At 41.8% G+C, this 13,398-nt stretch overlaps 1 protein-coding gene across 3 annotated transcripts in view; it reads right to left on the bottom strand.

Annotated features, from left to right (window-relative positions):
• SIRT1 (sirtuin 1) overlaps nucleotides 1-13,398 on the bottom strand; it is a 33,735-nt gene that overhangs the window by 14,270 nt on the left and 6,067 nt on the right. For all 3 annotated transcript variants that reach the window (NM_012238.5, NM_001142498.2, NM_001314049.2), the window contains one exon: nucleotides 12,567-12,719. In NM_012238.5, coding sequence (NP_036370.2) covers nucleotides 12,567-12,719 — 153 coding nt within the window. The remainder of the gene's footprint in view (nucleotides 1-12,566; nucleotides 12,720-13,398) is intronic.

Raw genomic sequence — 13,398 nt, 5'->3', positions numbered from 1 at the left:
AAAAAACTAAAAAATCTGAAATAATGAAAAAAATTACTCTGGAAGGACTGTTCTAATATACCACTCCTCCTAAGATAGGACCACTTGTTGAAAACCAATGACTGGAGATACAACTTACAGATAGAATATGGATTAACTCTTCCATGGTGAAAGTGTGACATGCTTAGTCCTATTCCAAACAAGACAGGCCACCCAGTTTGAATATCCTAAAGCCTTTTTAAGCAACCAATCATGAGGGCTGGGCCATTCTGTTGCTGCCATAGGGATCCTTATAGACCAAGAGTGGAAGCAGAACTGGAATCAAAGGCTCAAAACACTATTAAAACAAACCCTGCTTTCACATAGCTGTGTCTGGAAACATGCAAATAATCCAGGAATTGGCCATAGGCAACCAACGTGGTCAAAACTAAAGCTTAGAACTATCCGCAGAAATTGGCCGGATGTGGTGGCTCATGCCTGTAATCCCAGCACTTTGGGTGGCCGAGGTCGGCGGATCACAAGGTCAGAAGATCGAGACCATCCTGGCTAAGATGGTGAAACCCCGTCTCTACTAAAAAATACAAAAAAAAATTAGCTGGGCATGGTGGCGGGTGCCTGTAGTCCCACTACTCGGGAGGCTAAGGCAGGAGAATGGCGTGAACCCAGGAGGTGGAGCTTGTAGTGAGCCTAGATCACACCACTGCACTCCAGCCTGGGTGACAAAGAAAGACTCCATCTCAAAAAAAAAAAGAACTATCTGCAGAAATAATGGCTTTTCTGCAGAGATTATGCCTTTCTTTCTTCTCCAAATTTCTAGCAATATGAATAAAAGACCCTAGAGTAAAAGGCATAGGTGTAAATGCAGTCCCTCAAGACTAAGAAAGCTGGGCATGGTGGCACAGGCCTGTAGTTCCTGCTACTGGGGAGACAGAGGAGGGAGAATCACTTGAGTCTGGGAGTTAGGGAGCTGTAGTACTCTATGATCGTGCCAATGGATGGGCACTACACTCCAGCCCGCACAACATAACAAAATTCACACCCACCTTTTTTTTTGAGAGTCTCGCTCTGTCACCCAGGATGGAGTGCAATGGCACAATCTCGGCTCACTGCAACCTCCACCTCTCCTGGGTTTAGGCAATTCTCCCACCTCAGCCTCCCAAGGAGCTGGGACTACAGGTGCGCGCCACCACATTCAGCTAATTTGTTTTTAGTAGAGACAGGGTTTCACCATGTTGGCCAGGCTGGTCTCAAACTCCAGACCTCAGGTGATCCACCTGCCTTGGCCTCCCAAAGTGCTTAGGATTACAGGTGTGAGCCACTGTGCCCAGCCAAAATTCCCTCTTTAAAAATCAGAATTTTTAGAGAATTCATCAAAATTTACTGATGTTAATCTTTGCTGATATCCACCCCCTCCTATATATAGTTCAGATGGAGGCAGTTAAGTAGAGTTGCTGAGAAAATAGAACCTAAACTTTCCTTCCTGTCAAAAAAAGTGAAATGCATCAATCCTGCTAAGGAGAGTCCTCATAATCCCTCCTGTCTCTTTCATTCCACAAAACCACACTTGAATAAACTGCTCAACATCTTAATCAATACTAATAAATTGGTCATATGACAAATTCAACTGTATTTCAATATATAAATAGTATGGCTATGTTCTAATAAAAGTTTGTATTTATGAACACTGACATGAAAATTTTATATAATGTTCAAGTGTCATGAAACAGTTCTTTCAATTTTTTCCCCAGTCATTTAAAATTAATTATTAGCAGGGGGTGGAGGTGGGATTGGGAAGACGCTGGGAAGAATAAGTTCAGGAGATCTATTGCTGACTATAATTAAGAACATATTGTAGCCGGGCGCGGTGGCTCACGCCTGTAATCCCAGCACTTTGGGAGGCTGAGGCAGGCGGATCACCTGAGGTCAGGAGTTTGAGACCAGCCTGGCCAACATGGTGAAACCCTGTCTTTACTAAAAATACAATAACTAGCCGGGCGTGGAGACAGGCGCCTGTAATCCCAGCTACTTGGGAGGCTGAGGCAGGAGAATCGCTTGTACCTGGGAGGCGGAGGTTGCAGTGAGCCAAGATAGCGCCACTGCACTCCAGCCTGGGGACAAGAGCGAGACTTCGTCTCAAAACAAAAACAAAAACAAAAACAAATATTGTATACCTGAAAATTATTAAGAGTACATTTTAAATGTTCTCACCACCAAAAAAAAGTATGTGAAGTAATGAATATTAGCTTGAGTTAGCCATTCCATAATGTACACACATCAAAACATCATGTTGTACACCACATAAACTTTATTTGTTGATTTAAGTAATAAATTAATGCTTAATGCTTAGCTCACAGCCTATACAAAAACATGGAGTGGGCCACATTTGGACTGAGGCCATAGTACGCCAACCCCTGTATTAACCTAACACAAGAGAATGTCAATTAGTTAAACTGCCAGTCGCCACTTAATAAATTTTAGTATGTACCACGTATAACATAAGCACTTTTAATTTCCTCTTTATTATGCTACAGACAAGGCTGAAGACTGGGTTTTTTAATTTGTTCAAGGCTGTAAAGAAAACAAAGAACATATGACAGAGACCCTATGCAGTCTGCAAAGCATACTACATATTTACTACCAGGCCCTACCTTACTACAGAAAGTTTGCTGATCCAGCTGTGAACATATACCCCGATGCAGATGAAAACAAATACAAAACAAACCTAACTTGCCATTTTGGTCACAAGAGCAAGTAAGTAGCAGAGCCCTGTTTTGATATGAAAATCCAGCACTGGACTGGGCAACATGGCGAGACCCCATCTCTACCAAAAATACAAAAAAAAATAGCCGGGCATGGTGGTGCACATCTGTGGTCACAGCTAGTCAGGAGGCTAAGGTGGGAGGATCGCTTGAGGCCAGGGAACAGAGGTTGCAGTCCAGCCTGGGTGTCAGAGCAAGACTATCTCAAAAAAAAAAGAAAACCTAAAAACCCTAGCATTTAAACCTCTATGCAGTATTTACTGTCTTCAATTTCTGATCCTTCACCCTCAAGTTTTCTATTTTTCTTTTAGGATAAGCACCATTTCTATTACATATTACGAACCAAATGACTAAGACTAGTAAGTACATTTCAGTTTGCTCACCTTCATGGGACTACTAAAGGCTGGAATCCCAATAAGCCTAACTCTTCAAGAATATATAATGTACACGTACAACTATTATATATCCATAAAAATAAAATTTGAAAGGTAAATCAAAAGAAAAGAACATAATATTCCCAGAAGTCACTGTGAAAAAGCACCCAAATGGAGAAAAATGGCTAAAAACAAAGAGGTAATTCAAGGATATACAAACGGCCAGTAGTAACCAGCAGTCATCCACGCTAATAAAAACAGAACAGGCCTAACCTGATAGTTAACGCCTACAATCCCAGCACTTTGAGTAGCTGAGGCAGCAGAATCACTCGAGCTCAGGAGTTTGAGACCAGCCTGGGCAACATAGCAAGACTGTCCATATAAAAAAAACAAAGAAACAGCAGGGCATGGTGGTGCACACCTGTAGTACTAGCTACTTGGGAGGCTGAGACAGGAGAATCATTTGAGCCCAAGAGTTGGAGGCTGCAGTGAGCTGTAAGATCACACTACTACACTCCAGCTTGGATAACAGAAGGAGACCCCGTCTCAAACAATAAGATGTTGAGCCAAGCGCGGCGGCTCACACCTATAAACCCAGCACTTTGGGAGGCCAAGGTGGGCGGATCACCTGAGGTTAGGAGTTCAAGACCAGCCTGGCAAACATGGTGAAACCCCCATCTCTACTAAAAATACAAATTAGCTGGGCGTGGTGGCACACACCTGTAATCTCAGCTACCTGGGAGGCTGAAGCGGGAGAATCACTTGAACCCGGGAGGCAGAGGTTGCAGTGAGCCAAGATGGCACCACTGCACTCCAACTTGAGCGACAGAATGCGACTCTGTCTCAAAAAATAAATAAATAAATAAAAAATAAAGCTGGGTGCTGCTTTATTTTTATAATTTTATTTAAAATTGTATTTATTTTTGAGATAGAGTCTCGCTCTGTTGCCCAGGCTGGAGTACAGCAGCATATTATTGGCTCACTGCAATCTCCGCCTCCCGAGTTCAAGCGATTCTCCTCCCTCAGCCTTCCGAACAGCTGGGACTACAGGCGCTTGCCACCACGGCCGGCTAATTTTTTGTATTTTTAGTAGAGAAGGGTTTCACCATGTTTGCCAGGCTGGTCTCAAACTCCTACCTCAAGTGATCCACCCGCCTCGGCCTCCCAAAGTGCTGGGTTTACAGGTGTGAGCCACCGCACCTGGCCTCTTTTACTTACTATAGTTTTTAAACTGCCTTAAAAACAACCCTAGATCAAAAAGACAAAAATGCAGATACCTATCAATAGGAGACTCATATACTGTGAAACAACTTTAAAATAGAATGCTACACAGCCTTCTTTGAAAAATAAGGTATATCTGTTAAGTGCTGTTACGAAATTATTCTCAAGAATATTATATGGTGAAAAAAGATAGAAAACAAGGTGTTTTTGATTCTGTTGGCAATCATTTATCAAGTATTAAAAACTTATGCTGACATCCCTCCCCTATCCCAACACAAATTTTTTTTCCCCCTGAATGATTTCCAAGAGTTTCACCATGGTAACCATTAAGGACAGATATTAGGGGCAGCAAAGACTGAAGGAAGGGGCAAACTATATATAGATATATGATTTTTGAAAGATACTGCACACGTCTGGGTATCAGAGACAGGCCCTGTCTCAAATATATATATAATTATATATATTTATATAACTTTTTTTTTAATGCTAAGAATGTATCCTGGGGTTTTTGTGGATTTTGGGTGGATACAGGTGGCAGTGGCATGATAAATCAGCCAAATCAGCTAAATCCCAAAGTGCTCGGATTACAGGCATGAGCCACTGCACCCAGCCCTAATAGAGGATTTTATTTCAACCTTTCCAAGCTGCAATACGACAAAACATATCAGGAGACTTAAAGGCTTAAAGAAGAACTTTGACATGTTTCTCTGAAATTCAAAACTGAAATTCACTTTCAGGAATTTATCCTAAGAACACTGGAGACATACCAAAAAAGGACAACTGTAGCAACACTATTTGTACATCCAAATGTACAAATACAGAATTACAGTTCACCACTTCATAAATAACCATTAAAAAGTATTCAAGCACCTCACAGAAAGTAAGTTTATTATATTAAGTAGAATATACTACAAATTGAAAGCAAAGTAAAACAGCCAAGTTTTTTCTTTTCAGGGATGGGTCTTGCTCTGTCACTCAGGCTGGTGTGCAGAGGTGAGGTCACAGCTCACTGCAGCCTCAAACTCTTTGGTTCAAGCAATCCTCCCACCTTACCCTCCTGAGTTGCTGGGACTACAGTCGCAAGCCACTGGGCCCAGCAAAAGCCAAATTTTATGCTAAAAATGTAACATAAATCCAGCTACAATACTATAAACGTATAGATATATAATCCATATACATGTTGAGTATTAAAACATTATTTTCAGATGAATGGCACTGTGACTACCATCTATTTTCTTTTTACTGACGTTGATTTTTAATAAGCTTGTTCTAGAACTCAAATTTTTAACTATTAATACATAATCTGGTATGTTTGCATATTATCAATAAAGTAATAATTTTTTGAACAAATGTAAAAATACATTCTTGGAATTAAGTTCATAAAATTCAGTTCGTGTTTCTCCCTCTACCTTTTCTTGTATTTTAATCACTAGGGAAAGAACAGTGAATTCAGTATGGGACAGAAACTACACTCTTCGAACATAGTATAGTCCCTTTTCTTTTTTTTTCTTTTCTTTTTTTTTTTTTTTGAGACAGAGTCTCACTCTCTCGCCCAGGCTGGAGTGCAGTGGTGCCATCTCAGCTCACTGCAACCTCCGCCTCCTGGGTTCAAGTGATTCTCCTGCTTCAGCCTCCTGAGTAGCTGGGATTACAGCATGCGCCACCACATCCATCTAATTTTTGTATTTTTAGTAGAGACAGGGTTTCACCATGTTGGTCAGGCTGGTCTCAAACTTTTGACCGCCCGCTGTGGCCTCCCAAAGTGCTGGGATTACAGGCGTGAGCCACCACGCCCAGCCGAACAACAGTCCTACTTAAAAAAAAAAAAAAAAAAAAAAAGTTATTTTATACATCCTAATTCAGTTTCGCCTTGACTCTAAATACAACCACTCATTTTTATTAACATCAGTGAATTATTTTAGGTTTCTGAGAACCATGACCACAACTTATTATCAATTTAAGTCATTATGCAGGATAAGAACACAGTGCAGGCTGGGCGAAGTGGCTCACGCCTGTAATCCCAGAACTTTAGGAGGCCAAGGTGGGTGGATCACCTGAGGTCAGGAGTTCGAGACCAGCGTGGCCAACATGATGAAACCCCATCTCTACTAAAAATTCAAAAAATTGGCTAGGCACAGTGGCTCATGCCTGTAATACCAGCACTTTGGGAGGCAGAGGTGGGTGAATCACAAGGTCAAGAGTTCGAGACCAGCCTGGCCAATATGGTGAAACCCCGTCTCTACTAAAAATACAAAATTAGCCAAGCATGGTGGCGGGCACCTGTAATCCCAGCTACTCAGCAGGCTAAGGCAGAACTGTTTGAACCTGGGAAGCAGAGGTTGCAGTGAGCCAAGATCCCATAATCAAGTCTACTCAAGAGGCTAAGGCAGGAGATTGCTTGAACCTGGGAGGCGGAGGTTGCAAGTGAGCCGAGATCACACCATCGCACTCCAGCCTGAGCAACAAGAGTGAAACTTCATCTCCAAAAAAAAAAAAACAAAATACAGTTCAGAAATGGCCCCACAGCTTTAAAACTGGCCTTAACTGTTCTTGTGTGAAAGAATCCAAAGTGGTACCACAGCTAAGCACACTGTAACACACTGGTGCTCAGAGAGTAATTTCTTTTTTTTTTGAGATGGAGTCTCACTCTGTCAATCAGGCTGGAGTAGAGTGGTGCGATCTCGGCTCACTGCAACCTCCGCCTCCCAGGTTCAAGTGATTCTGCTGCCTCAGCCTCCCGAGTAGCTGGAATTACAGGTGTGCACCACCACGTCTGGCTATTTTTTGTATTCTTAGTAGAGACAGGGTTTTGCCAAGTTGGCCAGGGCCAGTCACCTGGGCTTAAGTGATCTGCCAGCCTCAGCCTTCCAAAGGGCTGGGATTAAAGTTGTGAGCCACCTCAGTTAGCCTCAATGAGCAATTTTGCAAGGAACATTTTGAAGACATTTTTTATTGTCAGGACTTGGGGTGGGGATACAAACGTAGGTGGAGACCAGCGAATTTTTTTTTTTTTTTTTTTTTTTTTTGAGACAGATTCTTGCTTTGTCACCCAGGCTGGAGTACAGCAGCGCGATCTCAGCTCACGGCAAACTCAGCCTCCTGAGTTCAAGTGATTCTCATGTGTGTCACCACACCCGGCTAATTTTTGTATTTTTAGTAGAGACAGGGTTTCACCATGTTGGCTGGTCTCTTCTGAACTCCCAGCCTCAAGTGATCCGCCCACCTCAGCCTCCCAAAGTGCTGGGATTACAGGTGTGAGCCGCTGCACCTGGCCGGCCAGGGACATTGCCAAACATCCTACAACGCACAGGAAAGTTCCCCATAGCAAATAAATATCAGCCCAAGGCCGGGTGCAGTGGCCTATGCCTACAATCCCGACACTCTGTAAGGCTAAGCAGGAGAATTGCTGGAACCCAGGATTTCAAGACCAGCCTGGACAACATAGTGAGAACTTGACTCTACAAAGAAAAAAGAAAGTCAAAAACACATTTAGCTAGGTATATGGTACGTGCCTATGGTCTCAGCTACTCAGGAGGCTCAGGCAGGAGCCTCCTGTTCAAGGAGCCCAGGAGTTCAAGGCTGCAACGAGCTGTGATGGCTCGACAGAGTGAAACTATCTCAGAAACAAAAAGAAAAATCCAGCCCAAAATGTCAATAGTGCCAAATTTAAGAAACTGCTCTAACAGAGCAATAACTTCCTTAACACACCTCTCCATTACTTGAAATTTCCAGTCTAAATGAAATTTAAGGGCTGGGCGTGGGAGACTCACGCCTGTAATCCCAGCACTTTGGCCTAGGCGGGCGGATCACCTGAGGTCAGGAGTTCGAGACCAGCCTGACCAACATGGTGAAATCCCGTCTCTACTAAAATTAGAAAAATTAGCTGGGCGTGGTGATGGGCACCTGTAATCCCAGCTACTCAGTAGACTGAGGCAGCAGAATTGCTTGAACTCGGGAGGTGAAGGTTGTAGTGAGCCGAGATCTCACCACGGCACTCCAGCCTGGGTGACAAGAGCAAAACTGTCTCAAAAAAAAAAAACAAAAAAAAAAAAAACAAGTTAATTCTCAATAATCACATACAATCAATGATATAATAGATGGTATAGAAATTCTTTCCAAAAAAAAAAGAAAGTCTCTCTTTCCTTCTGAAGTATCTAAATTTCACCAATATTTCCTTTTCATGGCTTCATTTTTAATGTTTTCTCATAAGTAGCAAAAATCATAAACCACTTTAGTGAACTTTCTGCCTAGTACACTGACTCACAGAAAAGCTTAGGTTATCCTATGAATATTCTATTCTTGTAATATTTAGAAATTCAGTAAAATATCGACAATATTTACATACCCTCCCCATCCTCCGTGTCAGGATACTATCCTGCACTCTTTGTCCTTACTTATTTCTCCTTAAGCGCTTTCGGCTCACTGCAACCTCCACCTCCTGGCTTCAAGCAATTCTCCCCGTCTCAGCCTCCTGCGTAGCTGGGACGACAGGCGCCCGCCACCCAAGCCTGGCTGATTTTTGTATTTTTTATTAGAGACGGGGTATTGCTGTGTTGGCCAGGCTGGTCTTGAACTCCTGACCTCAGGTGATCCACCCACCTCGGCCTCCCAAAGTGCTGGGATTACAGGTGTGAGCCACTGTGCCCAGACTGGAAGCTTTCTTTTTTTAGTCAGTTCCCAATGTGAGAATTAAAGGATGGACAAAGAATTATATGTGAGTAACAACTGTAAAGCCTAGCTGATTTAACCATTACCATAAATGAAAACTCAGAAAAGCAAAATTAAATTTATCAGCTGGACATTGTGGCTCACACCTGTAATCCCAACACTTTGGGAGGCTGAAACGGGCGGATCACGAGGTCACGACGAGACACGTCCTTGCCAACATGGTGAAACCCCGTCTCTACTAAAAGTGCTGATCGTGATGGCACGTGCCTGTAGTCCCAGCTACTTGGGAGGCTGAGGCAAGAGAATTGCTTGAACCCGGGAGGTGGAGGATGCAGTGAGCCGAGATCGCGCCAATGCACTACAGCCTGGCAACAGAGCAAGACTCCATCTCAAAAAATAATAATAATAAATAAATTTATATAAACAGGATTAGAAGAGGCTACACCTTATAAGTGACTGAATTTTTTTTCAGTTTAACAATAAAAAATGTATTCTCCATAACTAGTGAGTCAAGTTTTTTGTAGTTGATTTAAGATCAAAGTAACTTCTAGTTACTTGCTGGTCTTCTGATAGTGTCAATGTCTGCGCTACGTGGAGATTTTATAAATGCCAGTGTCCTAGCTCCAATTCAAGAAACCTTTAAGTCATACTTCACTGGTCTTCAAAACCATGCAGTAGTGCCACTAGCAGGAGTAGGTTAAAACAGTAAATCTTCACTAATCCATAATTAACAAAAAATAACTTTACATTATTTATTTAATCCAGGTATGAACCAGTTGTCTGCTCTAAAAGCTAGATATAGATGACCATCATCATTACGGATATATGAAGTAAAAAGTTCAAATTATATAAGTTTTAAGTTAAAAATTCTCTTGATAGCCTGAAAACTTTTCAAATTCAGTTTAGTAATCATATTCAAGAATTAATATAATTTTCCCACTTTACACTAATGCCCATTTAATATACCACAACCTGGATAAAACAAAAGTTACATGGGGTGGAGGGGTGTAGTGATTAGGGTCTCACTGTGTTGCGCAGGCTGGTCTCAAACTCCGGAGTTCAAGAGATCTTCCTATCTCAGCTTCCCAAAGCACTGGGATTATAGGCACGAGCTACTGCATCCAAAAAATCACTTTTTTTTTAAAGACAGTCGCCAATTTAAGTAACATAATTTATTCTGAATTAGCAAAGCTTCTCCTGTAGTCATGTAAATATACCACATGGTCTGAAAGTAGATAAGGCCACTGTTTAGTTAAAATTTAGGTTCATCGGCAGGGCGCGGGGCGCGGTGCCTCGCACCTGTAATCCCAGCACTTTGGGAGGCTGAGATGGGCGGACCACAAGGTCAGGAGTTCAAGACCAACCTGGCCAACATAGTGAATCCCCGTCTCTACCAAAAATACAAAAATTAGCCAGGCATGGCAGCACGCGCCTGTAGTCCCAACAACTCGGAAGGCTGAGGCAGGAGAATCTCTTGAACTCGGGAAGTGGAGGTTGTATGGTGAGCAGAGATCACACCACTACACTCCAGCCTGGGAAACAGAGCCAGACTCCGTCTCCAAAAAAAAAAAAAAAAAAGCTAGGTTCATTAACTTCTGGATTCATTAAAGAAGTCCCTATTCACAACTTCTAACGATTAGGTGGGGAAAAAGCCACTAATACAAGACTCCTTCGCTGGAAGCCATCATCCTCAGCAAACTAACACAAGAACAGAAAACCAAACACCACATGTCCTCACTCATAAGTGAGAGTTGAACAATAAGAACACATGGACACAGGGTGGGGAACACCACACACAGAGGCCTGTCAGGAGGTGGGGGGCAAGGGGTGGAAAAGCATTAGGACAAATACCTAATGAATGTGGGGCTTACAACCTAGATGACAGGTTGATAGATGCAGCAAACCACCATGGCACATGTATACCTATGTTAACAAATCTGCGCATTCTGCACATGTATCCCGGCACTTAAAGTAAAATAAAATAAAATGACTCTTTCAAATATATATACCTCCAAGTTTAACAATAACAAATTTTGTAATTTCTTTCCAAAAGACTGAAATACAGGAAAGAAAACAGTTTTCTAATGACTCAATCTCTTGAGAATGGTGTAATGCATTATTAAACTTTCTATGCTAAAGCAGAGCTGTACAATAGGTACATAATGTGAGACATACATATAACTTTAAATTGTTTAGTAACCACATTAAGGTGAAAACTGGCCAGGCGCGGTGGCTCACGCCTATAATCCCAGAGCCTTGGGAGGCCGAGGAGGGTGGATCACCTGAAGTCAGGAGTTCAACACCAGCCTGGCCAACCTGGTGAAACCCTGTCTCTACTAAAAATACAGAAATTAGCTGGGCATGGTAGCGGGCGCCTGTAATCCCAGCTACTCAGGATGCTGAGGCAGGAGAATCACTTGAACCTGGGAGGCAGAGGTTGCTATGAGCCAAGATCATGCCATTGCACTCCAGCCTGGGGGACAAAGGAAGACTACTTCTCAAAAAAAGAAAAAAAAAAAAAGTAAACTTCAAAAAACATACATATATTTTGGAAACACTCTTGCTCTGTTGCCCAGGGTGGAGTGCAATGGCAGATCATGGTTCACTCAGTCTTGAGCTCCTGAGCTCAAGGGATCTTCCCACCTCAGACTACTGAGTGGATGGGTCTACAGGTGCACACCACCATGCTCAGCAAATTTTATTATTTATTTTGTAGAGATGGAGTCTCATTATGTTGCTCAGGCTGGTCTCAAACTCCTGGGCTCAACTGATCCTCCCACCTTGGCCTCCCAAAGTGCTGAAATTACAGGCATGAGGCAACACGCACAGCCCAAAATACATTTTATTTAACCCAATATCAAAAGTATTTCAAAAGAATTCAAAATTAATTTTAAGTATTTTTTCCATATAAAAACCAATATTTGTTTAATATTTGATGAATAAAACTAATGAAATACTTTGTATTTTCCATACTGGATCTCTAAAATCCAATATGTCTTCTACACTTATTGCACATATCAATACATTTCAAGTACTCAACAGCCACATGTGGCTAGTGGCTTCTGAACTGGACGGTGCAACTCTAGAGCAGAATAATGATCCTCTGCAATTTGCTGACAAAAATGCAACCCAAGAATCTTCCCATTCTCTAATTACAAATGATTTTTCAGGCACATCCTTATGTTAAAACTTGACTACGAAACACCAAAGTGATGTTATAACCTTTACAATCTCTAATAAAATATTAAAAATCACAAGTTATGTTACTTTTATATGGTGTGCAAACCTCTTAAAAAAGCCCAGGCAGAATAACGACCATCGCTGCAGTGCAAATTTTAAAAATATGAACTATCTCTTTGAAAATAAGCTCACTCCTAAAATGAAGTAGATAATAGTCCTCCTCTAGGAATAAAGGAATTCTAGCCATAATGAGTGATCTTACTCCGCCACAGTAGCAGCATTCACTTTACTAAACAATGAACGATAACCTTAAGGTGGCTGTATGTGAACAAAATACTTTTTCATGAGAGAAGGCCAAAGAAACAACCAGAAGAGTTCATAGTACCTTTGCAAACTTGAAGAATGGTCTTGGATCTTTTCTGAAATATTCAATATCAAACATCGCTTGAGGATCTGGAAGATCTGGGAAGTCTACAGCAAGGCGAGCATAAATACCATCCCTTGACCTGAAGTCAGGTATTCCACATGAAACAGACACCTAAAATGTGCATGGCATAATTTGTAAAATTAAATCTTCTACCTTTATAGGAACTAGCTAGCTCTCTTACCATATAATTAGGTAAGAGTTGAGAAAGAAAATTTTAGTCTGAAACTTCTTTTAAGAAATAAAAATACAACCCTACCCTTATTTCAGAAATAAAACTCCCAAATAACTGAGTAAAATTAAACATACCTCATATTCCATCTTTAACACAGATAAGGAATTTTTAAGTCAGGCCAATTTTAAGCCTTTTAAGCATTTAGCCAACAAATTAAAGCAAATGCAACTTGAGAAGAAAATAAACCATTTCAACAAATTATTTTAAGTAGGGAAGAATTTTTTCTTTTTTTTTTTGTTTTTTTTTTTTTTGAGACAGAGTCTCACACTGTCGCCCAGTCTGGAGTGCAGTGGTGCGATCTCGGCTCACTGTAAGCTCCGCCTCCTGGGTTCACACCATTCTCCTGCCTTAGCCTACTGATTAGCTGGGAATGCAGGTGCCTGCCACCGCGACCGGCTGATTTTTTGTATTTTTAGTAGAGACGGGGTGTCACCATGTTAGCCAAGATGGTCTCGATCTCCTAACCTCGTGATCCGCAGGCCTCAGCCTCCCAAAGTGCTGGGATTACAGGTGTGAGCCACCGCGCCCGGCTTTTTGTTTTTTTTCTTTTTAGACAGT

The sequence above is a fragment of the Homo sapiens genome, chromosome 10 (assembly GCF_000001405.40).
Source record: "Homo sapiens chromosome 10, GRCh38.p14 Primary Assembly".
NCBI lineage: Eukaryota > Metazoa > Chordata > Mammalia > Primates > Hominidae > Homo > Homo sapiens.
The sequence above is the reverse complement of the archived record's forward strand: the minus strand, read 5'-3'. Positions and strand labels throughout refer to the sequence as shown.